This window comes from Homo sapiens, chromosome 6, assembly GCF_000001405.40.
Source record: "Homo sapiens chromosome 6, GRCh38.p14 Primary Assembly".
NCBI classification, from domain to species: domain Eukaryota; kingdom Metazoa; phylum Chordata; class Mammalia; order Primates; family Hominidae; genus Homo; species Homo sapiens.
Genome location: NC_000006.12, coordinates 45878664 through 45905175, shown reverse-complemented (window position 1 = coordinate 45905175; position 26512 = coordinate 45878664). Strand labels below are relative to the sequence as shown.

The 26512-nt window shown below is 41.5% G+C and overlaps 1 protein-coding gene across 10 annotated transcripts in view, besides 6 other annotated features; it reads left to right on the top strand.

The window, feature by feature from the left end:
- Positions 1-24349, top strand: part of CLIC5 (chloride intracellular channel 5) — a 248993-nt gene extending 224644 nt beyond the window's left edge. For 4 of the 10 annotated variants that reach the window (NM_001370649.1, NM_001370650.1, NM_001114086.2 and 1 more), the window contains one exon: positions 1921-6720. In NM_001370649.1, the coding sequence (NP_001357578.1) occupies positions 1921-2088 (168 nt within the window). In that variant the 3' untranslated portion in view covers positions 2089-6720. Of the gene's footprint in view, positions 1-1920; positions 6726-12943; positions 13032-23987 lie in introns of those variants that run through there. The other 6 variants (NR_045672.1, NR_045673.1, XM_047418898.1 and 3 more) reach the window with 3 other exon arrangements.
- Positions 2411-3255: an enhancer, noted in NCBI's record as "H3K4me1 hESC enhancer chr6:45869658-45870502 (GRCh37/hg19 assembly coordinates)". NCBI's record gives its function as "activates a minimal SCP1, AML or CMV promoter by ChIP-STARR-seq in naive H9 embryonic stem cells {active_cell/tissue: H9 hESC(naive)}" and the evidence as "EXISTENCE:reporter gene assay evidence [ECO:0000049][PMID:30033119]".
- Positions 2411-4248: a biological region, named in NCBI's record as "CDK7 strongly-dependent group 2 enhancer GRCh37_chr6:45868755-45869954".
- Positions 2959-4158: an enhancer, noted in NCBI's record as "CDK7 strongly-dependent group 2 enhancer chr6:45868755-45869954 (GRCh37/hg19 assembly coordinates)". NCBI's record gives its function as "activates an origin of replication core promoter dependent on BRD2, BRD4, P300/CBP, MED14 and CDK7 cofactors, with strong dependence on CDK7, by STARR-seq in HCT116 cells {active_cell/tissue: HCT116}" and the evidence as "EXISTENCE:reporter gene assay evidence [ECO:0000049][PMID:35650434]".
- Positions 3560-4248: an enhancer, noted in NCBI's record as "OCT4-NANOG hESC enhancer chr6:45868665-45869353 (GRCh37/hg19 assembly coordinates)". NCBI's record gives its function as "activates a minimal SCP1, AML or CMV promoter by ChIP-STARR-seq in naive H9 embryonic stem cells {active_cell/tissue: H9 hESC(naive)}" and the evidence as "EXISTENCE:reporter gene assay evidence [ECO:0000049][PMID:30033119]".
- Positions 5756-6309: an enhancer, noted in NCBI's record as "OCT4-NANOG hESC enhancer chr6:45866604-45867157 (GRCh37/hg19 assembly coordinates)". NCBI's record gives its function as "activates a minimal SCP1, AML or CMV promoter by ChIP-STARR-seq in naive H9 embryonic stem cells {active_cell/tissue: H9 hESC(naive)}" and the evidence as "EXISTENCE:reporter gene assay evidence [ECO:0000049][PMID:30033119]".
- Positions 22359-25612: an enhancer, noted in NCBI's record as "VISTA enhancer hs1461". NCBI's record gives its function as "enhancer in: limb[12/16] | nose[7/16]" and the evidence as "EXISTENCE:transgenic organism evidence [ECO:0001131][PMID:17130149]".

Sequence of the window (26512 nt, the reverse complement as noted above, 5' to 3'; positions counted from 1 at the left end):
AGCTCTCTTCACAATAGCAAAGACATGAAATCAACCTGGGTGCCCATCAACAGTGTACTGAATAAACAAAACATGGTACATATACATCATGGAATACTACATAGCCATGTAAAGAAACAAAGTCATGTCCTTTTTAGCAACATGGATGCAGCTGGAGGCCATTATCCTAAGCAAACTAATGCAAGAACAGAAAACATGAAACTACATGTTCTCACTTATAAGTAGGAGCTAAGCAATAGGTACTCACGGACATAAAGATGGCAACAATAGACACTGGGGACTACTTGGCAGAGGGATGGAGGGGGCAAGTGTAGAAAAACTATGCTCATTATTTAGGTGACAGGACCAATCATACCCCAAACCTCAGCATCATGCGTTATACCCAGGTAACAAGCCTGCACATGTACCCCCTTGTATCCCCCCAAAAAAAAGAGGGAAGGAAGGAAGAGAAGGAGAGAGAGAGTGAGAGAAAGAGAGAGGAAGGATGGAAGGAAGGAAGGAAGGAAGGGAGTAGGGAGGGAAGGAAAGGGACAGAAAAGAGGGAGGGAGGGGAGTCAGAAGTGATACTACTCTCCTGTTACCCCTACCCTAGCCTAGCCTGGAAGGGCTAGAGGAGGACCAGCTAATGTGCAGGCCCTAGTGCACAGTGAAAACAGGGGGGCCCTGTTTAAAAATTATTAAGAATTTCCACACATTGACCCCAGAGCATTAAATCAACAGCAGGGCTCTTCTGAGTGCAAGGTGAGACTGCACAGGTCACAGGTCCATGAAGCTGCCGCAGCTAGAGAGACCTCATTAAAGAAACCATCCTGCTGTCCCCATTAAGAAAATGCATGCAAATGGGTACAAGCTAGGTCTCAATGAATTATAATAATACTTGATGTTTATTGAGTATTTACTATTTGCCAGGCACTCCTCTAAGCATTTGATGTGTATTAACTAATTTATTACTCCAAAGTAGGTTTTATTATTATATCCATTTTAGAGATAAAGAAATTGGAGCTCAGAAAGGTTAAGTAACCTGCCCAATGTCACACAGCTGCTAAGTGGAGCCATGATTGCAAATCCAGTCAGTTGGTATCCAGAGCCCATGCTTTTAATCACTTTGCTCTTGTTTCTCTCAACATAAATACCACTTCTCCAGAACTCTCCAGTCCACATCCCCCCTGACTGTGGCAAACCAGGGCGAGAACAGAAATCAGTATTTGCTTACTTTTATGTCATAGTCTAAACCTACATATACATTCCAATATCTAACTTGCTTTTCATGGTTTTTTTTCCCTTCTATAAATAAAGAAGGGAAAAACTGGCCTGTGTAAAACAAAGTGAATAAGAGAAAGAAGAAAAGAAAAATTGTTGGTAATTCTATCAATCAGACATAACCACTGGTAATATATAGGTATATAGACATCTAGCCATCATACATGTTTCTCCAAATGCATTATACTTGAACTTTAAATGTAATAGTCTATCTTGGAGAGTTTTCCAGATCACTAGATTTTCTTAGCAGCATCATTTTTAATGTCCCTCCACTATGACATTTTATTTGTGTAAGATAATGTATGTATTCATATATTGTTGGACTTTGGCGCTGTGCACCATTTTTGTTATTCAAAATAGCTCTGGGATCATAATTGTGTAGGTAAATCTTTATATCCATCCATGATTATTTCCTGAGAAAAAATTCCTAGAATTTGACACACTAGGTCAAAGGGCAAATTATGTTTACTTAAGAAATTAAATTAAAACAAAACAAAAAGAAGACAGCACTGCCACCTTGCATTTCAAACATATCACTGATGGCCCGTGGTGATGCACGGAGGTTTCCTGCAGTGCACACACACTGGGACGGCCACTAACACTTTCTAATGATTTGTTTCATGCCTTCACACCACCTCTGTCCTGCCATCTCTGTTTTAGATTGTGGCCAAGAAATACCGCAACTATGATATCCCGGCTGAGATGACAGGCCTGTGGCGGTACCTCAAGAACGCCTATGCCCGTGATGAGTTCACCAACACCTGTGCAGCTGACAGTGAGATCGAGTTGGCCTACGCTGATGTCGCCAAACGCCTCAGCCGATCCTGAGCACAGCCATTTTGCCCCATCCCCGCTGCAGAAGGACTCAACCACTCCCCTAAGACTCCAGCTTCATAGACTCCTCTGTATCACTGCCTTGAGGCGCACTTTTTATAATCAAGCCTCATCTTGCTGGTATCATGGGAACTCCAGCCTGCTATCTTTCATGAAGGTCAGCACCATCCCTGGCCTCCTCACATAGGAATCTAGCAGAAATGATAGACACAGTCCACCTTTCGGCCGGCCAGCCTGATCTGGGCTCAGCATGTTTGGGGTCAGTCAGTGTTGGAGAGCCCACATATGGGATTGCCACTAGCTTCTTCTGCCAATATCAAAATACCTTCTCAGATGCTTTAGAAACATGCAACACCAACTCCTTTTCTACCCTCCTCTCCGTCCATACCTACAAGGCCAAGGACAAACGCCATCTTCATCCTTCTTAGAAAGAGATCTATTACCCCATTAGGGGAGACAGAGAGAGTGAATGGAGGAGTACCGAGCTGGCTATGGACTTGGGTGTCTGGCAAACACAGCTTCAGTCTCACTACTTCTGACACTCTGGTTATTGGGCACTAAGGGCCAGACTGGAAAGTCACTTGAGACACATTCTCAGTTTGTTGCAGTGCCAGGAATGCTGCGCTGCTGCTGCTGCGCACCTGGCCCATGCTGTCCCTGGCTTCCATGCCGTCCAGGCCCTGCCAGAAAAGGAAATTGGCATGCAATTCTAAACTGCAGTGACTGGGATGGGAGGGGAGGGGAGCAGTGTTGATGCCAAAATACCCACGGGGTCTACCAGCCATGGGGTTTGCTTGCTTAGGAGTAGTTGTTTCAGAGGTGATTACAGGCCTGGGTTTGACTGTGCTTACCAATGAGTGGTTTTTGAGCTATGAGAAAGTGGATGGGAGTGGGAGGAGGAGAGATGGGTGAAGACAAAAGAGTTCTTTATGAGCCTCGATGTTCCCTGGTAAACTTTTAAAAAGGCCTTCTCTCATGATCTAAGTCTTGGACTGGTGGCATCATGTAACTGCTAACCTTACAGTAAAAACCCAAGAATGGGTCAAAAATGTCTTCCCAGTTTCTCCAAGCTGCTTCTGGAATGCAGGTCTGTCGGCTGGGTGCTCTCCAGCAGCTGCTCCTGCCTGATTCAACTGTAGCCTGTAATGGGTAAAAGCCACATTTAGGAGGTGGTCTGATCATAGAACACCTTAGGAAGAAAGTCCATGAGACTTTCTGACTAGGAAACCATGTGGTTTGAACTTGAAGAAAAATGTAGACCCATCTGGGTTAATTTTCCTACAATCTGACTCAACTGCCAGGTGAAAAAAAAAAGGAAAAATTTTTAAGCTAATATTTCACTCTTTTGTCATTCTCCTTAAGTTTCATCTCCTAAAAAGCTTACCCAGCCTGAGCTTGGGGACCTGTGCAGAGGAAACTAAGAAAAATGCACTCATCAACTCCTTCTCCCAGTGAACGCCCGGTGAGAAAATCCATTTGCCACAGGCCCTTACCTTCAACAATCCCCCTTCTATAGTGTTCGCTGGTAAAGGGTGAGGCTCCCAAGTGCTGGAAAGCCCCTGGACTTGGCTCATTTCTCAGCAAGGGCAGGATAGCACGGGTCCTTTCCATAGAAATATCAACAAATTCTAACCCAAGCAATCCCTGGACCTACCTGCCTCCAGGGATCTCTGAAGAAAAAAAGTAACCCATTGATCAAATCAGAGGAGAGGAAGCAGGAGGTCTCCTAGAGCCCATTGAGGAAGAGGAACTTTCTCAGTAGGACACTTTATAAGCCTGAGAAAGCTTTGAAAAGGCGGAATGAGTTGATTCATTTCCACCTCAAAAGGAACCTTTCCAGGTCCCCCTGGAAATTGTGCCCTGGAGATGTTTAACAAGGAGAACTGGTGAGGAAAGAGTCCTTTTTTACTGTAGGGAAAAGCCCCAAACTGGCCTCCTGGGGGATGAGGGCTGAAATGATCCCGAAGGCCTTTTAATTAGTGTGAAATCCTGCTGTACTCAGAAATCCTTCCCCGAATTTACAGCACAGGCAGGATGACCTAAGAGGCAGTTTACTTCCCTGAGACCCACAGTTGGGCTGTTCTGGAAACACATCTGTGAATCATAGCCAATTGCCACAGAGAAAACAGAACCAAGCCTCCGGTGAGGCCACTCCACCCCAGAGAAGTCTGCAGAATTCCAAGGACTCGGATTGGATGTTCAGAATTCAGCAACTGGAAAGTCCTTAAAAACAAACAGGCCAAACCAAATCAATATTGCTGTTTCTAGATGTCCCTTCTGTGGTTGAGCTAGTTTTACAGAGATAAATATATTAAGACAAGGAGGTGGGGGTGTTATATGATCAATGATAGCCATTTGAAAGAGAGGGAGGAGTACAGAAGGAAGGCACTTCTGGGTACTTAATTCAGAAATTTCTTTATATTTCAGCACTGGATTATCATATAATGCAAGTGACTATGGACTAAGAGTTAGTTATGGTGTCTTATGACTAGATTTATTATGGTATATTAAAGTAACAATAATATTAATATTACCTTCCTTTTTTTTTTTGTTTCAAAAGAGATCTTTCTCCAGATGCTTCAGCCTGTCTGGCCTTCTTATCATATGTGCAGCACATCATGTCTCAGCAACAGTGTGGTGAGGTCCTTAGGTGTCCCAAGAACAACTCAGGGAGCACGGGAGGGTCTGCAGTTGGGACCCCACAACTATACAGCTATAGGGTAGGAGGCTTCCTTTTCATTGGTCCTGAATGAATACAAATCGCTCAGAAAGCATTTTGGTGGCACAGAAAGGGGATGTATTTGTGTTGAGATCTTATTTTATTTTGTATTTATTTATCTTCTTTGACTTGCACAGCACTATTGGGGGTGGGGGAAGCAGGGTAGTGGGAGACGAAGGCAGAAGCAAGAGTCAAACTCAGAATGACTGAGTTGAATTCACTGTCTAGTCAGCAATGCCTGCTTCTGAGTTTGGCCCAGAGAGAAGGTATTGAGTAAGATTTTAATAACTGTAAAAAGTAAGCTGGATAAGTAAAATCATGATGGATCCAAAGCACAGTTTCTTCATCTCCTGATAAAGAAAGTCAAATGCTTGATAAATTCAGAGTCACAGATGTGAGCATAGCTATATTCTTTTAAACGAGAGGTAGAGTGACCTAGCACTAAGCAAATGAGCTGAAATGTCGGAAACAGAGTCCATCAGCTTATTTGGCCACACGATCCCAAACTAGTTTTATCTTGGGAAATGGCCCTGTCCTCAGCATTCCCTTCTTGTGCTGGTGGGGCCAGTGAAGTCTTGATCTTATCAGAAAAAGGCCACACCAAGTGCGAGTTTTCCCAGGCTGACTTTCCAGGCCCTTATCAAATGAAACAACAGAAGCTCTTCACAGTTCTGTGCCCCATGGCCACTCCACAGACAGACAATACCAAGCATCTTAGAACTGTCATAAGATAGGTCATGCCTGAAATAGATCTTGACCATATGAGAGTCCCAGAAATCAGCAAGGCCTGGACAAATAGAACTAAGAGAGAGGCAGAGGCAGGAAGCTGCGGGTCTATCTTGTAAAGAGTTTAGCATCACTGTGAGAGTGTGTGTCTAAAATTAAATTAAACTAGAAGCAGCAGGTGAGTATTTGGTAAGTACTTCTGTGACTCGCCTCAATTCCCACTGGCCAGGGGCCATCTCAACTGCACGGTGAATCAAGATGCTGGTGTCATCCTCCTTGGAAAAAGGAAATGTTAACTCATGGTTAAAACTAAGTACAATGATTCCCAAGGGATCACTTTCTTATTTTTTTAAATGACATTAAGGAGAATCTTAAGAAAGCATCAGAGAAAGACATGTGCATGTGAAGCACCCTGATTCTGATGTTAGGAAAACTTAAGCGAACAGGACCTGCTGCACACAGCCCCATTGTCTTCTATCCATTTCTCTTTATCATTCAAATCAAGCAACATGTGCCCTCCTCATCAACACACATTCTTCCCCTTTGTCAGTATGCATCTCCCAGCTTAGTGTCAGGATACTTTCGATTCATAATTATGTATGATCCAAAGTGTGCATAATTTCATTTAACGTTAAAGAAATAGATCCAATTCCTTTCTTGCAACCAAAAATAAATAAAATACGTTGCCTCAATATAAGGTTTGGGCTATTCTGTGTTTCTATAGAAGCAATCTGTTTTTGGTAAAATGTACTTTTAAGGATCCAGTCATCTGAAGTATTTTATGTAGAGTTAGAGATTTCACAATATTGACTATACATATATTTAAAATATAAATTATCCAGCTGATGTTTGAATTTGTCTTACTTTCCTGGCCACCTCGTTGTCCTATTTTATAAGCTGGGGAGTTAACTAGCTTAACAAAAGATGCTTAGCTTTTGTAAAAGAACAAGTGTTTCATTTTACAAAGACACTCCAAATGATAGTTACTTGATTTTCTCGAGACCTTTAACTATGGTGATGAATAACAGGACTTGCTTTCAAGCCTTAATAAATGTAAAATGCCTTTTAATGAAGATACAGCTGAGTGTTTTCCTCATGAATCTGAACCAATTACCAATTTGTGTTCCAGTCTTGATTGGTATTGACTGATTCAAATAAAGTTGGTTTATTTTCAAATATTACAAAAGTGGTCATCTAACTTCTTATTTGAGGTGGGGATTTCCTGTGCTGTTTTAGATGACAAGTATGAAGTACCTTTTTTTTTTCCACATAAAGGTTAATTTATTTTCCCATTATAAAGGAAAATGTTCATTCTTTTTAAAAATCAAAGCATGCCTGGATAATTTTTGTATTTTAGTAGAGATGGGGGTGTCACCATGTTGGCCAGGCTGGCCTCGAACTCCTGACCTCAAGTGATTCGACTGTAATCCCAGCTACTTTGGAGGCTGAGGCAGGAGAATTGCTTGAACCTGGGAGGTGGAGGCTGCAGTGAGCTGAGATTGCACCACTGCACTCCAGCCTGAGTGACACCGACAGAGCGAGACTCCCTCTCAAACAAAGCAAAACAAAACAAAAAAATCAAAAGCAAATGGAAAAGAGGAAGAAGAAAACGAAAAGCACAAAGTTTGTGAACCAGCCATCCTAAAACCAATTTTTTTTTTTTTGCAAGACTAAATAAACATTCTTTCATAATACCTGGGCTAGGTAAAAAATTATACTGATGCTCTTTCAGTGTCTCATATTTCCCATCTGCATTGTCATCCATGGAGGTAGATCAACAGTGACAGTCCAGGTATGATTTAAAGAATTCCTTAAAATATCATTCTTCTTGTGCCCAGAGCTCTCTGTTGGCTCTCAGTGGCTTGCGTTCCTAGGCTGAAATCCCTACTCTCAACACCACATCACTGACTCTGGGTTCAGGTTCCCAGAGTCCTTAGTAAGCTTTACCTGAAGCCAATGTGACGTCTGATGAAGACTTCTATGAGCATTCACATTGCTAAAGGGTAGTCATAACAGCACTTCATTACCTTGGAAGAAATGAAACAGCAGACCCAGGGGTGGATCTTGATGGGAGGGGCAGCTAGGGTCTCAGGACAGGTGCAGTAGATGCAGCTGGTGGTCACCCCACCATCCCGACTCCCATCTTCCACAGGCAGAGCTCTGATTGGGTCAGGAGTCCACCACCTCCCTCCTCCCTACTCCCCCACCCTACACACACACTCCCACCCTCAGATGACTGGAGCGAGGGTGATTTCATCCCCAGTTCCAAGAGTAAAGCACAAATGGTCTGGGCCATCCTGCTGGCTGTGGTTGGTTTCAAAGTGGGCTCCTGACCAAGTTCCGCCCAGTATTGTGAAGGCAGATTTACTCAGGAACTTCTGAGAAATATCCCCTTGTTGTTAAGAAAGTGACTCCTTAGGTCACTGCTTCTGATTGTGGGTATGAGGCCTGGAAGTGCTGCCGTCCTCTGGGGACCCTGAGAGGGTAGCAGCCTCAGGGCAAAGGCAACATGCTGCAAAACGCAGCAAGAGACAGAGACAGAACCTGGGTCCTTGATGTGACCACAGAGTTGCTAAATCAACAAACCCTGAAACTGGTCCTAACTCTGGATTTCCTGTTCTGTAATTCATCCCAGATTGTTTGATGGTGATTTTCTTTTACCCCACGAGTGGCCCAAGGCATTCTAAGTGGTATATTAGCCAAGTTGGTTGTGGTGGTTGTTTTTTTAATAGCCAGTTAGATCATTAGACTGCTCACCCAGGAGGCGTCCCAGGCTTCCACTGTGTGAATGTAGGGCATCTGCTCTCCAGGCTGACCAAGAGCTGGGAGCATGGGAGACATCATCTCTCTGTGTCTTGGTTTCCTTAACGGTTCTGTGAAGAAACCAAGGGGCACAGGATGGCAGTGACTGTGCCTAGTATTGAGGAAGACTAAGTCCTGTTCCAGAGAAGCTTCCAGAGAAGTGACATTGTAAATGAGAGTATCTCATTACACTCAAAGTTGTTGTGACCTATGCTGCTTTTATTTATTTCTTTTGTTTTTATGTCTAGTAGCTAACCTACCCAGAGCCCCCAGTAAGTTTTACCTTGTGGGAAAAGGCATGGAGTATTAGACTGGAGAGGTAGGAAGTCAGGACTGAAAACAAAGAAACGAGAATTTGACTCTTAGGTCCATCATTAAATTACCATGTGCCCTTGAGCAAGGCTCCTTTCTGGGCCTCAGTTTCCCGAAGGGAGTTATGAAGGCTCCTTGTCTATGAGATTATACAATCTCTGATGAAGAGTACTTTTTGGCAATAAAGGGTTATTTTAAGTGGAATGACATTTCAACCAATTGGAACATTCAATCTATTGGAAGGTCTCTCTGTGCTCTTCTTTAATGGAAAGAAGCCAATAACCAGAAAATACATGGCCATCAGGTATTCGTCTATGTGAATTTTTTCTTTTAAAGTAAATTTCAGAGTATGACTTGGAGTCGATTTACATTATATAGGTCTCCTATCCTTCTACTTAGATTCACTGAAATCTACATCCACGTGCAATAAACATGACCCTGAGGCCCTGCAATTGGGTTCATTCAGCTGCATTTATTTATGCAAAGAGTAAAGCATACTCAAAATTTGGGAAGATTTTTAATTTAAAAATGTGGAAATGAGAAAAACAAGTTTCAATGTAATCCTCCTTTAAGTAGAATATCTCAATGCCCCAAACACTCTTATTTCCAAATCCATATAGGCCTTGGAGTCTAGACCGCTGAGATGCATAATACAAATGCCATAATAGAGACCAGTTAAAACCCAGTACTATTCCGTCTGTGGAGCAGTGCTTGGTTTCACACCATTTTCAGTCTGTCTAGAATTGTTTCCTGTGTGTTAGTCACTGTTACCACCCTGTCCCCAATTACAAACTAAGCTCCTTTAAGAGATAGAGCGTAGGTTATTCAATTTTTGTGCCGTGCCTCACCTTGTCTAGGACGCAGCAAATATTAGATGCTCAAAAGTATTTATTAGTGGTTGACTGGAGAGATCATGAGACACTATTGCAGACTTCTGGGTTCACCTTGGATCTCACTCTTCATTTCCTTCTAGTCCCTGACACCCACTGTACCATAATTCTGAAAATAGAGTGAAAACAGAGAGCTAAGGAGAGAAATAGGTGTCTGTGTTAGTTAAATATGCTTCCAAGGTGCTTCTGAAGAACGAATCCTTCTAAAACAGTGTGTACAGCATTTATCTGTCTGGCTGAAAAAATGAAAAGCTACCTAAGCTCATTTTATCACATGGTTTTGATGAGTTAATAATTTAGTCAGTTGTCCAAATTAGCCACAAACTTGTGCCTAGATTAGGTGTTATATTTAGAAACAGGTTAGAAGCTTTGAGGGGAGGGTGATTCTGGGTGCTATAATCCTAGAATTATCTGACTAAATAAGGTTTAAACGAATGCATCTTTTTTCCGCATATAGGTTCATTAGGGAAAATTTTGAAAATACAGATAAGAAATAAAAAATAAATTATACTGGTAATCCTTCTGCCCACAGATAACCACCTTTAATTAGTAAATAATTATTTTCCCAGACTTTTTCTAGTGAGATAGGAATATAAATATGAATACTTTTTTTTTAACAAAAAGAGAACTGAACCTAACGTACCTTCCTGTCCCCATGATAAACAATTCTGGGGCCAAATATATTTTTCTGTTTCTATGCCAAACAATACTAGGACCAGACAAAAACAACTTGCTACTTTCTCCAGAAAATATTTGCTTACTTATCAAGACCTACAGCTTGCTCGACAATAATTGTCCAAGACCTCACCTTACAGTGCGCATGGATTCAAAGCTTTTACATTATAAACTTTGCCCAATCCCAGCCCGTTTTCTGCCTTTCAAGACCCACCTTATAATCATTTGGCCCTAAATGGCCCTAAGACCCTGTAAATATCCTTCCCTTCTGATGTGCTACTAAGACTCTGTCAAGAAGATGTTCTTCTTTGTTGAAATAAATCTGATAAACTTAGCTTTTCTTGGTCAATAAGTTTTTCTAGCTGTCTTTTTTGAGAATTATCATTAGCCAACACTCTATACAGTTTGTTAATGGGATTTTTTTCATGCATACATCATGAATATCTTTCCATGCCCTTTTTCATCTATAACTTTATTCTTGTGTATTACAATACATTTAACCAGTTTTCTTTATTCAGCCCTTAAGGTCACTCTAATTTTTTACTCAATTGATGCTATAATGAAGTACCAATAAGCTAGCTTCTTCATTATGTCTATTTTTCCCTTAGAATAGATTTCTGGAAGTGGAATTTCTAAGTCAAAAGGCGCACCTATTGTAAGGCTCTTGAGATAGATTGCTAAATTTACCTCCAGATTGTTCCAACTTACTCTCTCACCAGCAGACTATGAGTGCTAATTTTCTCACATCATCACCAGTATTGAGATGCATTATTTTTCAATTCTACTCAAATTGATAAGTGAAATATACCTCATGGTTGTCTCTTTATTTAACCATGTGTTGAAGATCTTTCCCAAGGATACAATTCCACTTTCTTTACTATCTTTAGTTTCTCTCTCTCTTAGACACAAGTGTGCTAGTTTCATCCCCTGTAACTTAGCTACGTGTCCACGAGACTGCCACACCATGGGATGAGTTGAGTATGAACTGGTTCTTGTGGCAGTTGTTGCTCCCTTTTGGCATATTTTGAAGTAGATGGCAAAACATAGGTTCTTTCTTTAATTAAAACAAGAAAACTAGAAAAAGAAAAATTTCTTTTTTTAGTCCACATAAGGATTACCATTTTAGGTCAAACCCAGTGTATACCACCCCCAATATAGTCTCAAGGGTACTAGGAACATATTATGGAAAGGGATGTATATGTGTTGTGGGGTAGGGAGTTCTCTCTGACTTACAGTTTTGGAAACATTAGTATTGGACCTGTGAAGAGCTATTTTCTACCAAGAAATTCCACCAGAAATTCTCACAATTCATTGAGCTCTTGGCCTTCAGCATAAGATCAATCAGGCTGCCATTAGGGACGACGAGTGTGGATGAGAGAAGAGAAACCTAGAGAGCTGGCAGGCCCTGCTCTGGGATTTGTGGAAGTGTGATATAGGAAAGTGAAGCAAGAGAACCTGAAATCAGAGTCTATATTTCTAGAAAAATGGTCTGCAAAGTACTGTGGCCTCAAAAATAAGACTCAAGAGACAGGCAGATCTTCAGTCTTAAATCATAGATTAATTAATGGTGGAAGAAGACTTTACATTCACCTGGAACCATGGGACTTTTGGAAAATGTTGGTCTTCAGTCTTTCTTCTTGCACCCACATTCTTATGTATCACACGATTCTGCCTCTTATCACATTGACAGTGATTCTCAAAGGAATTCTTAAAACAAAAAAAAAAAACCAGGGTGGCACTAAATATTTGGCCCTTAATTTATCAAGTTGCCATACAACATGAAAACAAAAACTAGGAGAAAGGTGATGAATGTGAAAAAGCATGAGACTCTCGCTGAACCACAACATAATAAAGACAACAACAGGGCCAAGTTCAACATCCGAAAAAGACATGGAGCCCAAAAGCTATCGTGTGGTTATTTAATTCTAGAAAAGGGAACTGTATAAGGGTGTTGAGGAAGATAATGAAAGGAGCAGTTAAAATGTAAACTGCCCACTGGAGACTATTTTAAAATGCTTTTTTGGAGTACCTTGCAAGGAGCTCCAAAGTCAATAATAAAAGCTCCTATAAATGCATCAAGGCAGAAAGCCAACTTGATAATCAGTAAGACCACTTGACCTAGAGCTGCACTGAGAGCTCTGAGTAGCTCTAAAATGGAAAGAATATGGAAAGGCAACTATTTTTCCTTTACCTCGTAAAGATGAAGAAAGACAACATGGACATTTTAATTCACTATTTTGAAAGACATTGTTCATAAATATGGATTCAAACATATGCCTAATGCACTGAAGGCAACAATTGACAACAGGAGGCATCCTGAGAGTAAAGCCACCAGATAAAACACATGGTTGCATCATGGAAATAAGCTCCCCTAAGAGGGGCAGTGAAATGCCTCCACACAGGCAAGAACAAAGCCCGCACTGCACCCACAGGATCATGAATTCTGAACTATCACTTGTGGCTCATTCTTTGAGATACTGGTCTGAGACTACTGAGCCCAAAAAGCCAGTCAAATGCTGGGCTTCCTCTAGAACATTCTTGGCCATGACACAAAAAACTTCACCTCTCCCGGTGCAAAACCAAGGTGTGGTCACTCCTTTCTGCAGTTCTAACTGCCATATCACAAGTAGTGTTAATGGCAGTCCTCATATGGTAAGTAGTACATGCTTACATTATCTCACATTCTTATAACATTCCTGTACCATATCTATTTTCTTATTTACAGATATAGTATGAGGCCCACAACAGTTGCTTATGTTCATAAGCAATAAGAGCTAGGATTTCAACCCAAAGACTGCCATCAAGTCTCACAGGTGAGGAAAACAGACTGCAACAAACAATAGTCTTCCTCGGTCAGGAAGGCAGAGATGTGATATGATCAAACATAAAGTCATGAAAAATGTTGTGAGTTGATCTCCAGATAGAATGTAAAGCAGGTAGCACACAGTATGGGAAACCCTGTAGTAGCTAAAATTAAAAATAAAAATTGCTTCACAATGTATCTTGGAGACACTTCTGTATAAGTACATATAGTTTTCTCAGTTGTTTGTTTTACACGTGTATAATCTTCATCGTACAGTTGTACATTTATTTATTTATATTTTTTAATTCAAAAAGGAAAACACATACACAGTAAAAGAAAAGTCATGCAATTCAAAAGTCATTGCAATAAAAAGAAGGCAACTCTCCTACCCTAAACATTCTCATCCCCTTCCCAGAGCTCACCACTGTTAACAATTTATTTGCTCCCAGAAATTTTCCATGCACATATACACACTTACACATGCATCATATGGCACATACACATTCTTTTTTTTTTTTTTTGAAATGAAATCTTGCTCTGTCACCAGGCTGGAGTGCAGTGGCATGATCTCGCCTCACTGAACCTCTGCCTCCCGGGTTCAAACGATTCCCCTGCCTCAGCCTCCCAAGTAGCAGGGACTACAGGCATGTGCCACCATGCCCGGCTAATTTTTGTATTTTTAGTAGAGACAGGGTTTCACCATGTTGGCCTGGATGGTCTTGATCTCTTGACCTCATGATCCACCCACCTTGGCCTCCCAAAGTGTTGGAATTACCGGGGTGAGCCACTGCGCCCGGTCCACACATTCTTTTAAAATAAGAATACAGGGTATGTTGGTGGGAGTATATGCATACATCTTATTTATTTTATAAAAAATAGAAGCAGAATGTGTTTTGTATGTTCTTTTTGGTAATTTCTTTTTTTGTCTTATTTTATTTTTAATTGACAAATAGTAATTATATGTATTTATGGAATGCAATGTTATGTTTTGATACATGTGTAAATTGTGGAATGATCAAATCAGGCTAACTTGCATATCCATCACCTCAAATATTAATCATTGATTTGTGGTGAAAATGCTTAAAATCCTCTTTTTTCAGCTATTTTGAAATATACATTATTATTAACTATAATCGTTGTGCTGTGCAATAGATTGCCAACACTTATTCCTTCTATTTATCTGTAACCGTGAACCTGTTGATCAATGTCTCCCCCTTCCCTGTCCACCCATTCCTCATTCCCCCAGCCTCTGGTAACCACCATTCTACTCTATACTTCTGAGTTGTTAAGATTCCACATAAAAGTGAGACCTAAGTGGTATTTGTCCCTCTGTGCCTGGCTTATTTCACTTAACATAATGTCCTCTAGGCTAATCCATGTTGTCACAAATGACACCATTTCCTGTTTTGTTTTGTTTTTTTAAGGCTGAATGGCATTCCATTGTGATTATATACTACATCTTTTAAATCCATTCGTTTGTCGATTCGGGTCACTTAGGTTGTTTCCATATCTTGGCTATTGTGAATGCTGCAATGAACATGGGAGTGCAGACATCTCTTCAGCACACTGATTACAATTCCTTTGGGTATATACACAGTAGTGGGATTACTGGATCATATAGTCATTCTATTTTTAGTTTTTGGAGGAACCACTATACTGTTTCCAAAAATGGCTGTGCTCATTTACAATACCACCAACAGTGTATAAGAGTTCCCTTTGCTCCACATTCTCATCTTTGTTATCTTTCATCTTTTTGTTAATAGCCAATCTAATAGGTCTGATGTGATATCTCATTGTGATTTGAATTTTCATTTTTTTCTGATAATTATAGATGTTGAGCATTTTTTTCATATATCTGTTGGCCATTGGTATGTCTTCTTTTGAGAAATGAAAGCGAAAATAGACAAATGGAGTTGCAACAAAATAAAAAGCTTCTGCACAGCAAATGAAACAATAAAATGAAGACACAAACCACAGATTAGGAGAAAATATTTGCAAATTATACATTGGATAAAGGACTAATATCCAAAATACACAAAGGAACTCAAACTACTCAGTAACAAGAAACTACTCTTATTAAAAATGGGCAAAGAACTTGAATGGACATTTCTCAAAAAAGCACAATGTTTTTTGCATTTTTTCACTTTAATGTGTCTTGGAGAGCTTTCCATATTAATATATGTTTCACATTCTTTGTAACATCTATATAGTGTTTCATTCTATGAATGCAACCTAACTCACTTAACTGGTCTACTTTTAATAGATATTTAAGTCATTTCTAGTCTTTTGCTGTTGAAATAATGCTGCAGCAAACATCCTTGCAGATGTCTTTGAACATGTGTAAGAAAATATTTTTAGGCTAGGTTCCTGGAGGTGTGATTATCAGATCCCAGGGATGTACATTTAATTAACTATTATTTTTATTTTTTATTTTAAATAGGAAATGTATTTGCATGACTCAAAAGATGCTAGAACACAGTAAACATTGGAAATTGTCACACTCTTCCTTGTCCCTGATCATCATACTTCCTTCACCCTATCTAAATTAAGACTTTATTTGTTTCTTGTACTTTTTCCAGATTGTTCTGTATTCAGATGCAAGAAAATGCAAATATATACCCTTACTGCCCCACCTTCTTACCCGAAAGCACATAGTGTATACATTGTTCTATATCTTACATTTTCCACTTAATGTATTCTGGAGATCTGGCTATGGACTGAATGTGTTCCCCCCAAAATTTATATGCTGAAACCTAATCCCCAGTGTGGTGGTATTAGGAGGTGGTGCCTTTAGAAGACGATTCAGTCATGAGGGTAGAGCTCTCAGGAATAGGATTAATGCCCTTATAAAAAAAGACATGAAAGAAGTATTCTCTCTGCCCTCCACCATGTGAGGATACAAGGAGATAACAGCTGTCTGCAACCAGAAATAATTTCCCTCTGCCCCTAGACATCAAATCTGCTAGCACCTTCACCTTGGACTTTCCTACCTCCAGAACTGTGAAAAATAAATTTCTGTTGTTCATAAGCCTCCCAGCTGATGACATTTTGTTATAGCAGCCCTAACAGACTGACGGATCTTTCATTATAGGTATATAGGGATCACCTCCCATTCCTTTTTACAACTGCATACTACTCCATAGTGTAGATATTCCTCAACTTGATTAGTCTCCCTCTGATGGACACTAAAGCCATTTTCAAATTTTTGCTACTACAAAAAATGCTGCAATGAATAAATATGTACATACCTCATTTTATACTCATATAAATAGATGTCATGCTACCACTTATAAAAAATTAAGGGAACACAGAATTATATATCTGTGTTGGCTAGCAAATATATAATAATTCATCAGAAGTAAAAACAAAGACCTAATAATAACATTCCTTGCTGGGAAGGATGGGAACTTACAGAAAGGGAACAAAGTGGGAAGTTCTCTGTATACCTTTTTACATGTTTTTATTATTTGAGTCATGTAAATATGCTACAGTACTACATAACTACTTTGAAAATTATGTAATATGTATCAAAATATGTTTATGATAGACTTAGATAAATTCACGAGGGATCATTTTCAAAAACAGGCTGTTTAAGGCATCTTTAGGCTTTTGAAGCAAAATTATAACTGGCCATGTGCTTCTCTTCCAAACTCATCCCATAGTTCCTTACCTAGCTTATAGCATAACTGTAAGCATAAATTTTCATGAATTTTTTCCCCAGGTGGTTAATTGACCATTGCTAGCATTATCTCTCTTTCCCTGAAACTCTAGGAACACTAGAAATAATAGTTACCAGATTCTTTTTACAGAAGTAAATTAAGAAATGTAATTAATAGAAAATGCCCCACATCCCACATAGATCCAACATTAGGTAAAAAGATGACCTATGGCTATGGAGAATTCCTGGGCAGCCTTGGTTTATAGTACCCCACTCATTTGGCTCATGTGTGAAATTTAAATACACACTGCTTTGTGCTTCAAGCCTCACAGGAAATCCCCCCCACCCCAGGGAAGGGGCAGGCTGTGAAGCTGCTCTCACTTCAGTCGTCTTCTGTGGACTGCTGCTTCTGTTAACACCCAACATTCTCCCATTACTTGGACCTTCCAGAAATTTTAGGGTCATACACTATATTCTGAAGCTGCTTTGTTCATTTTTCTTTTAACTATTCTGTCTCTTCAACAAGCCATCCTAGAATTGCCAGATGTTTGAAAATTTAGTCCATTAACATTCATTGATTTTTCTTCCTCCTTTTTTTCTCTCTCTCTTCTAAGAGCCCTTCTTGTGACAATTAGGTACCCAGAGGCTTCCCTGTCCTTAGGCTTACAGCCCTCTTCTATAGTTGCGTTATGATTTTATTACATGTGAGTGTATTACGCGTTATGTTACATCATACCAGATTATCTCTTTTTAGAATTAGAGCAAAAAATTAAAAAGCCATTGTCTGTTTTAGAGGGTGAACCCTAAGCTGAGATGACAATAGATCAAAACTTCCATCACCTTCCAAGTATTCATGTGACAAATCAGGGATGGTGACTCTGTTTTTTCATATATCCACCTTATAGGTTGAATTGTGTCCCCCCAAAAACTATGCTTGAGATATAAAGCTCAGAACCTGTATATGGAAACAGGGTTTTTGCAGATGTCATTAGGTTAAAATGAGGTCTCATATGGGCTTAGGGCTCACCTTAATCCAGTATGACTGGTGTCTTTACAAGAGGATAAAAATTTGGATGTAGACACAGAGGGAAGACAGCCGTGTGAAGACAGAGGTAGAAATTGAAGTGCTGCCACAAGCCAAGGAAAACCTGGGGCTAGCAGAAGGGGGAAGAGACAAGGATTCTCCCCTAGAGGCACTAGAAAAGTGTAACCCCACCAACACCTTGATTTTGGACTTCTAGCCTATAAAACTGCAAGAGAATAAATGGAATAAATTGGTTTTCCCAAGCCACTCAGATTGTGGTACTTGTTACAGTAGCCACAGGAAACTGATATACCATGCATTTGTTCATTTCTAAAAATGTCTAGCATGTGCCCCTTCCCTGACCTGTTGCCACATATTCCCAGACAAAATGGAATGTCATCCAAGTATCATCAGAGAGACTGTCTGCTGCGTCAAAGGTGGGATTTTAGCATTCTGTGCCCTGCAGCCTGAGACCAGGTGACTGGTCCATGCCCCCTCTCTGGCATCATCTAGAAACATTCCAGATCCTATGCACTGAGTGGACACAGGTAGCATCCCAGGAATGATCAGGAGATCAGAAGCCTAGCTCCCTATCATTGTTTTGCACACAATCCTCCACATTCCCAGCACTTCCCAATCCTGTGTTGCCCTGGCTACAGGCATTTGGAAAACGTTTTCCTTTGCTCCTTGGGCTCATCACACAAGGAGGCAAACACATCAGCTTTGTCCACCCCAGAAGCCTTTGAGCTCTCCAGAGACTAAAGGCAGAAGATACCCATTTTCAAAACCATTTGTCTGAAGACCACCTGGAGGACTTACTTATTTGGCAGTTTCTTCCTTCAGATTTCCTTTCAGGTGATCACGGATTTGGCATTGGGGCACTTGGCTAATCCTCAAAAAGCATAAATCAAACGCCCCATTCTCCTGCCCCATAATTACATTACCCACTTACTCCCCGTGAGCTGGTGATAAAAGGAAATTTACCAAATGGGTGCTCAACAGGTGGCCTTAAAATGTTTAAATTGCCACTTGAAGGAGGGCTGATGAAAGGGGTATGCACAGGTGTGACTTAGGCGGATGAGACCTGCCGCACTTGTGCAGGGTGGGGCTGCTCAGGGTGAGCACACCCGACGGTGGAGGATTAGGCAGGCTTCTTCCTCTGTGCTTCACCTTTGGCTACCGATCCAGATGCTGAGGCAAAGCCTGGGCCAGTGTCAGGACTGGGGCTGCACCCTGGGGAGTTTTTCAAGATTTCTGCTCCTTCGCACCACGTGGTATCTTCTACCACCTGCCCTGGGACCACCGACCAACCCATTTCATGACGTATTCTGAAGTGACCCAAATAAGCCTCCTTCTTATTGGTAGAAGCCTCCTCCTTCTGGTAACCTTAGAATGAGGAAAGGTTGAGCTCATTTGGGGTTTCATCTTTCAGTTACTGCTCTAGCCAATTGGTCCCACCCTTTAGTATCCATTTTCAGTTACTTTCTGCTTTCATCCATGGAAATTTGCTACAGAAGTTCCTGTGCAGTATCAGTTTCTCTGGATGGGGAGCTCATATTTTGATTCGGCTCTCAGGACTTGGAGGGTCTCCCATCCTTCTTAGGCCATCTCCACATTTGAAGCTTCCTGCTGTGGAATCACATTTACTGTTTCTCTGAACTTCTTGAATATATATGTTCCTAAAGTCTACTGCAGACATCCTAAAAAGCCCAGTGTTCCCTTAGCATTTGGGAGCTCCAGAATGAGAGGGCCACTTTCTCCCAAGGTCTCTACGACTTTGTTTCATCAATCAGCCTTTCCTTTTCACCGAAATGAGATTCAGAAGATGTCCGGAGAATTGACGTTCCTCATCTTTCCATCTTTTCTCTGTCAGATTTGTATCCGCAATGGGAAAGCATTGTCCACACATTTTCACTATTCAGGGGAGGTGGCTGATAACCGCCCACTCTTTCAATTTGACCTATTTTTTAAAAATATTTTTAATAACGATCTTCTGTTGACATTATGGGCATAACATGACTAAAATATTTAGGGGAGGTATTTAGTATGGGCTGCTATAATAAGGTACCATCGACTGGGCAGCTTATAAACAATAGAAATTTATTTCTCACAGTTCTGGAAGCTGGAAGTTCAAGATGAGGGTGCCAGTATGGCTGGGTTCCGGTGATAACCTCTTCCAGGTAGTGGAAGGCTGACTTCTCATTGTATCCACACATGGTAGAAACAGGGCGAGAGAGCTCTGTGAGATCGCTTTTGAAAGGGTCCTAATCTCATTCAGGAGAGCTCCTCCTCTCAAAGGCCCCACTTCCTAATACCATCACATTGGACTTTGGATTTCAACATATGAGTTTGGGGCACATAAACATTCAGTCAATTGCAGGAGGGTAATTTTTGGATTAGGTAGTGGGCGGTGGTAGGGTGGGGAGTCTCTCAATTAGATCTCTCAACTGAATTGTCTTTTTTTTTTTGGCCCTTGATGAAAAAGTTGTGATTTTTTAAAAAACCTATTTCCTGAAGCATACAGCAAGTGTTATGTACTCTTGACAGTTTACCACATTTTGTTCAGTTACAAATCATTATTAACCTCCGGACAGATGAAGGAGTTGGGGGTACCAGACCCCCAATATCCCCTCTCTCCCCAAAATTTTGTTGTCATTGTTTAGCCTTTAATCCAGTTCCCCACATGGGAGGCCACATGGTCTTCCTCAGTTATTGGGCATCGGTATCCACACGTAATAGAAAAAGTAGTCTACCTGCCATGACCAGTAACTGCCCAATCTCAGTGCTTCACCAAATAGATTAATTTCTCACTCAGGACACAGCCCAGCTTCCATGACTGAATTCTGAGGGTCTCATGGCTACTGCTGCATTCTCCTTTGCCACAGACTCCATTTCGCAGCCTTCCTTGCACTAGGGTGGCCATGTGACCCAGTTCCAGCCAATGAGAGAGGTGAGGCTGCGGGGGCTGCCCAGGAGAATTGTCTTTCCTGATCAGCGGAAAGTACATATTCCGCTGCCCCCTTCTTCCAAGTCCTGCTAGGGATGCTGGTGTCAGCATGCAGTACTTTTTCCCTAGACAATTTCAATAACTCCAAACTGTCTCCTGCATCTGGTTTCTCCTCTCCCACTCTTGTGTCTACATTCCTGCCAATCATCTTATAAAAACACCTGTAAACAAGGCTGGTTTCTCCTACCTGTGGGACACTTTTAGATGCCTATGCTTAAGGATAAGGCATACCATCCATGAGAAGTATGCCCAGTTCTATGGCTGCCTTCTCAGTGTGAGGCAGCAAACAGAGGATGGGAAGCCAACATGTTGAAGAGTAGCCAAGTAGAGGGATGGAAGGAGCCCAGGCCCCTGGAGGCATCACTGAGCTTCTGAACCAGTCCCAGACCCTCTCATTATGTACCTCCAGACTCCTTATTATGGAAGATAATTAAATCTCTTATTATTGTTGTTACTTGCTGAAATAAACCCTTCATGGTCTGGTCCCAACCTGACTCGTCAGCCTCAGTTTCCTCTCTTCATCACAATATATCTTGCCTGCCAGCCACTACAAGCTACTTCAACAGTCTCATGCTTCTTTATCTTTATTCATGCTCCTCTCACTGCCTAGAATGCTCTCCTTCTGCTTCTGTTTCAGGCACATATATATTTATACCCCTGCTTCAAAGTTCTGATGGTTCTTCCTACAAGAAGCCTCCATGGATTTCCTCCAGGCATGTTTAGTCCCCTTGTGGCACTGTGTTTCTACCTGTGTGACAGGCCAGGTACACACTTTACTGTGGCTATTTGTTTACACCCTGGTCTTCTCCATAATTAGAAGCCACTTGAGGTCAGGGGCAGTGTTTTGCTTTTTTCTGAGGGCCCAGCAACCAGCACAGTACACTATAGGTTCTTAGTAAATGTGCCTTGATTGAACAATAGATAAAGCCTTTCTCCTCAGTGATGACACTGCCTCCCCATGCCAGGAGCCCATCACTCTGTGAGCACAGCTCAAGCCCTTCTCTTAGCCTTTCATCCTCCCATGCTCTACTTCCACCTTGTCTAACGAATTCCTAGAATGTTAGAGTTGGAAAAGACTTTAGAGTTTTCCTAAGGTTTATTATCGGAATGGCTAGTGAGTAAAATGAAGGATTCCAGGAATAAATATATTTGGGAAACACTAAATTAAATAAAATTTAAACAAGCCCTTCACCTCAGAACCCATTGTATGCTAACAAGTGGTGGGAATCTCTGATAAAAGGCAAATGGCAGGTAATGTTTCTCAATGCTCCACCCCACCCCCACTGTGGAACTCGTTCCTGTGGAATATGTTGTAAGACACTGATCTGAAACAAGCCCTTTGTTCTACAGGTAAGAATTTACTTTCTTGAATCCCAGAGCCAAGCTGGTAATGGGGCCGCCTGCCCACCAGCTCGGAATCTCCATCCCACTCTGTGGCTCCATCTTGATCTGCTCCACCACTTTCTGGCCACACCACTAATTTAGCACTTTGCATGGTTGGTCATGTATGCACTTATGTCTAGAGCTAAATTATAACTTTCTAAAAGGGAGGGGTCTTTTCAATACTCTTCTAGTCTTCTCACTGTGCATAGTCAGGCATGTGGTCAATGATATACTCTGACTGAAGAATGAACAGTACATGAATGAATGAGGGAGTTAAACATTTACCACATTATTTTGGAAAGTAATCACATCTCTTCAGAGACTAGAACAGATATACCATTAATTTTTGTATCACTAAAGAGGAAAATGTTTTCCATCACCTCACCACAGTATTTCTTATCATCAATTATAAGGAGCATTCTAATTTTAAGGGTGATAAAACAAAAACACATGCGTATCTTACTATTAATGAGTTACAGTAAAGAAATGTACTCAAAGCAAAACTCAGTTCCACAGATCTTCTCATTCCACTGGGAACTCATTTCAAAATTGTCCAAAGCCTCAGAGTGGGAAAAGAGTGGGAAGGAGGAAAGGCTTGGAGTCACAGGGTTAAAGAAGAACAGCTAAGGAAGTTCTGCCAAGGGCCACAGTTGTGAGTGCCTTGAGGTTTTCAAGGGTGGTGGCCATTGCCATTGGGCAGCCTCCAGCTGAAACCCAACAGGCAGGGCACACAAATGACATCAATTAATCTGAGATTGGTAATGACATGTTTGTTTTGGATTGAAGGAATGCTATTGTGGCTTCTATGCAGTGATTGGGTTGCTGTGGATGAAGGGTGGGGAGATGTGTATCCTGGACACAGTCATTCCATGGCCCTTGGGAGCCATCCAAGATGGTTCCAGGGTGTTTTTGGTAATTGGGAGTCTCTGGTAAAAGCATTTTCTCCAGGAACTTCAAAGAAAAGTCGCAAGTGTGCATTTTGATCCTGTGAGGCTAACACTCACCTGTGGATGGCCATGGGGCATTTCCAATGAGCCCTGCCTGGCTTGTTGGAAGGAACTATAATGCTCTAGAGTTGATTCACATCACTTTTTTTTTTTTTTAAAGGAAGTCTTCTTTCTCTGACTATGTAAACACTGGGGCTAAGGGGAAGTCATTTCCCCATTTCCAGAATACAGTCCAAGTTCACGAGTTCGACATTTCAAACCAGACCCATGCCCTTGGTGGTCAGGTTGGTTTTCCTTTGGCCAAACACAACCTTCTGCACTTGAAGAGGGCAGCCTGGGGTGGAAGGACACTTACAGGGCTTATTTAAAAGGGCACCAAAGTCTTCTGGGAGAGAAAATAGCTCTTTCCAGAGAGATTTTCATGATTAAGTGCAAATGAATCTGAAACACATGGATCAAATTTCCCTAAAATTACACACAGTTTTAAAAATTAAAGGGGTAAAGGGAAAGGTATTTCTGGTAACCCCAAAACATATGAAGAGACACACTTAATGCAAACAAAAATAAACCAAACAATGGTGTCTGGAGCCTTCTATTGGTACAGAACCCAGCTGAGCTTTGTCCTTTCTTGGCTAGTAAGGCTGAGGCCCTCCCCACTCATCACCTAACGGGGAGAATCTGCCGCCGGAAGGCCTTCTTCAGCTGAGATGCACTGCAATTTTTAAGAAGGAGGCAGGGCAGCCAGGGAGAAAAGCCCATTTTCTGTCAGTTAAGCCTCTCCATTAGTTACCTTTACCTTTATGAATGCTGTTAAGATTTGGGCTTTAACATACATAACTTGAAATCAGTAATATCCTTCATGCTTGCATGATTTGTTGGCTCCATATGTAACCTCTTGGCCCATTAAATTGGCTCCAACTCAAATCCTGTTGTTTCTTTACTTTCAGCTTTCTTTTTGTTGAAAAAAAGGGGGCATGGAGTAGAGGAAGAAGCAAGCAGAAGAAATGGGGAGAAGCTAGAGAAAGAAGAAAAAAATGGGATTCTTTCTACTGAAATTTCTAAATGTGGAACTCATTGTCTGTACTGGCTTTGAGGCAGAAAAAAAAACCTAAGAGTTTAAATATTTGTTGAAGTCTGGATTTCTCCCTGCACCCGTCCCCCCATTCCCTCTAGTAAAATTAAAGCTGAAGCTAGCAGTTCATGTCTAGCTCTTGAAATGTCACCGGCAACACTGCTATTATTCTGATTTTCTGGGCAACGCCCGTCGGTTCCCTGCTGCAGTTCAATTAAACTAACTCTGCCTCTCTCAGATCTGGCCTGACAGCTGCATTGAATTTGGGTTCATTGGGTGATTTATCGGGCTGGGTGATGTACAGCCACATGATTTAGGAGTGCAAAAAAACTCTGGAATGCACCAAAAAAGCAATATATGCATTATTATTAATAATAATAATAAAGATAAATGTCAGCCCCAAGTGACTCTGGTGGCCCTCGCCACTCCATTTAACATTTTAACGGTGGCATATGGCCCCTGCATGGCACTTGGTTCTGTCTGGTGCCTTCAAGGAGGCTAAGAAAAGGTTATTTGTCAAATGCTGGGTCAGAGTAAAGGGGGGATATTTTCAAAGCTCTGGGTCAGACCAGCCCAGCTGCATTCCTGTCCCTGTCATTGAACAAGCTGAACTTTGTCACATTATTAAGCTGTCAGCAACGCCAGGGCGTTGTTTAGATTTCTGGTGGGAACTCCTCACACATGCTCTGGGGCTCCATGGGGATTTTATCAACACCATTGTAAAACATGCACAAATGAGCTGTGCTGCAATTTCCCTGGGAAGACCAGCTCATTCGGCCTCATCAGGCAGGAATGGAAATACCAGAGCCAGGCTCTTTCTTGTGCCACCCACAGGCAGCCTCCCTGGTGCCCTCTGCAAACACCCACCACACAGCAGGTCCCTTGCTCTTCACGCGACTTCTCCCTGGGTGTTGATGGCTGAGAGCTCTGCCTTGGCCCTAGCCAGATTGGAAGCTGAGCGTCTTGGAGTTCAGATTCATGTGGAGCTGATGTGGCCCAATGAGACTGTGGTTGAAGTCCAACTTTAGCCCCTCAGCTTCTCTGTTTATCCCTCTTTCCCCCCTCAGTTCAGTTTGTCCCTCACCCCTGAGATCCAAATGTTCTCATATTGTTAGTCTTCCAGTCTGGGAGCTGGGAAAGCTTCAGATACAAATTAGAAAAGTTGAATCCTCAAGAATTTTCGGGTGCACCTTCTCCGTAAGGAAGGTCTGCAATCAAAGGAAACTGAAAGCGAAAGCCATGCTTCAAATTTTAGCTATCAACAAGACTCCAGGGAAGGGACTCAAGACTGGGGGCCATCCAGCAGCTTTCAAATCATGCCACTGCTGTCAGTACACACTTTACCTTTGCATGGAACTTCCTGAGTGTGGGGAAAAGGGCATGGGCAAAACATGAGTTCTGATGGTAACAGGGATGCCTGCCATATAGCTCCAGGACCTTCAGGTCTAGCACAGCAGCATTCCCACCATGGACAGCCCGTACCTGAAGGGAAGAAGCAGGCTTCAGGACAGCCTGGGAACACTTGGAATCTGTTCAAACATCAGGCTAGCTCTGAGCACCATGAGGGAAAAACCAACTCTGTCCCCTACTGGCTGTGTGACTTTGGGCCACAAACATCTGTGCAATGGATATATAACAGTAGCATGTGGTTTGTAGGCTGAAATGAAGACCAATCAAGATAATGCGAATAATAATGCTATGTATACTCCTAAACCTAGTAAGCAGTCAATAAATTGTAACTATTGTTAGTCCCATCACAAATCAGCTCATCCAGCTGATCTTCTTTTCTCCAACATCACATACGTGAATATGGCAAGGCAGGAAACAACCCCCTCAGACTGGACCACACAGACAATCACTTTCCAAATAAGGACCTATCCTAATCTTGAGACATCTTGGAGGGATACCAGTCATACAAGCATCCTTAGAAACTACTTTTAGGGTCCCCTTCACCCATTAAAAACTTATTAGCGTTAAGAAAACAAATAGATAGATAGATGGATGAATAAATATATGAAATATATGTGTGAATGAATAGGGTGATAGTATGTGTGAAGTACCTGTATTTATATTCTAAATATAATCTATGCATATATGTGTATACATATGGACATATGCACATAGATGACGAATGGCTGAAATATATAGCATGTATTGCGTGTATCTTAATGTGTATATGTTTATCTGTTTACATGTATGAAAACATTTGTATAAAGAGAAATGTCAGATGAATGGAAAATGGACGGATGGATAGAGAGAGGGAGAGAGACCTATCCCAGATGATTGTTGTCATTTGGAGTGTTACAACTCTGACCCTCTCTTTTCTAAAGAAATCAGAATCCAGGCCTGGGCACTCTTTGGCACCCCTAGCTCTTTCTACTTTGGTGTGCTTCTGCTCCA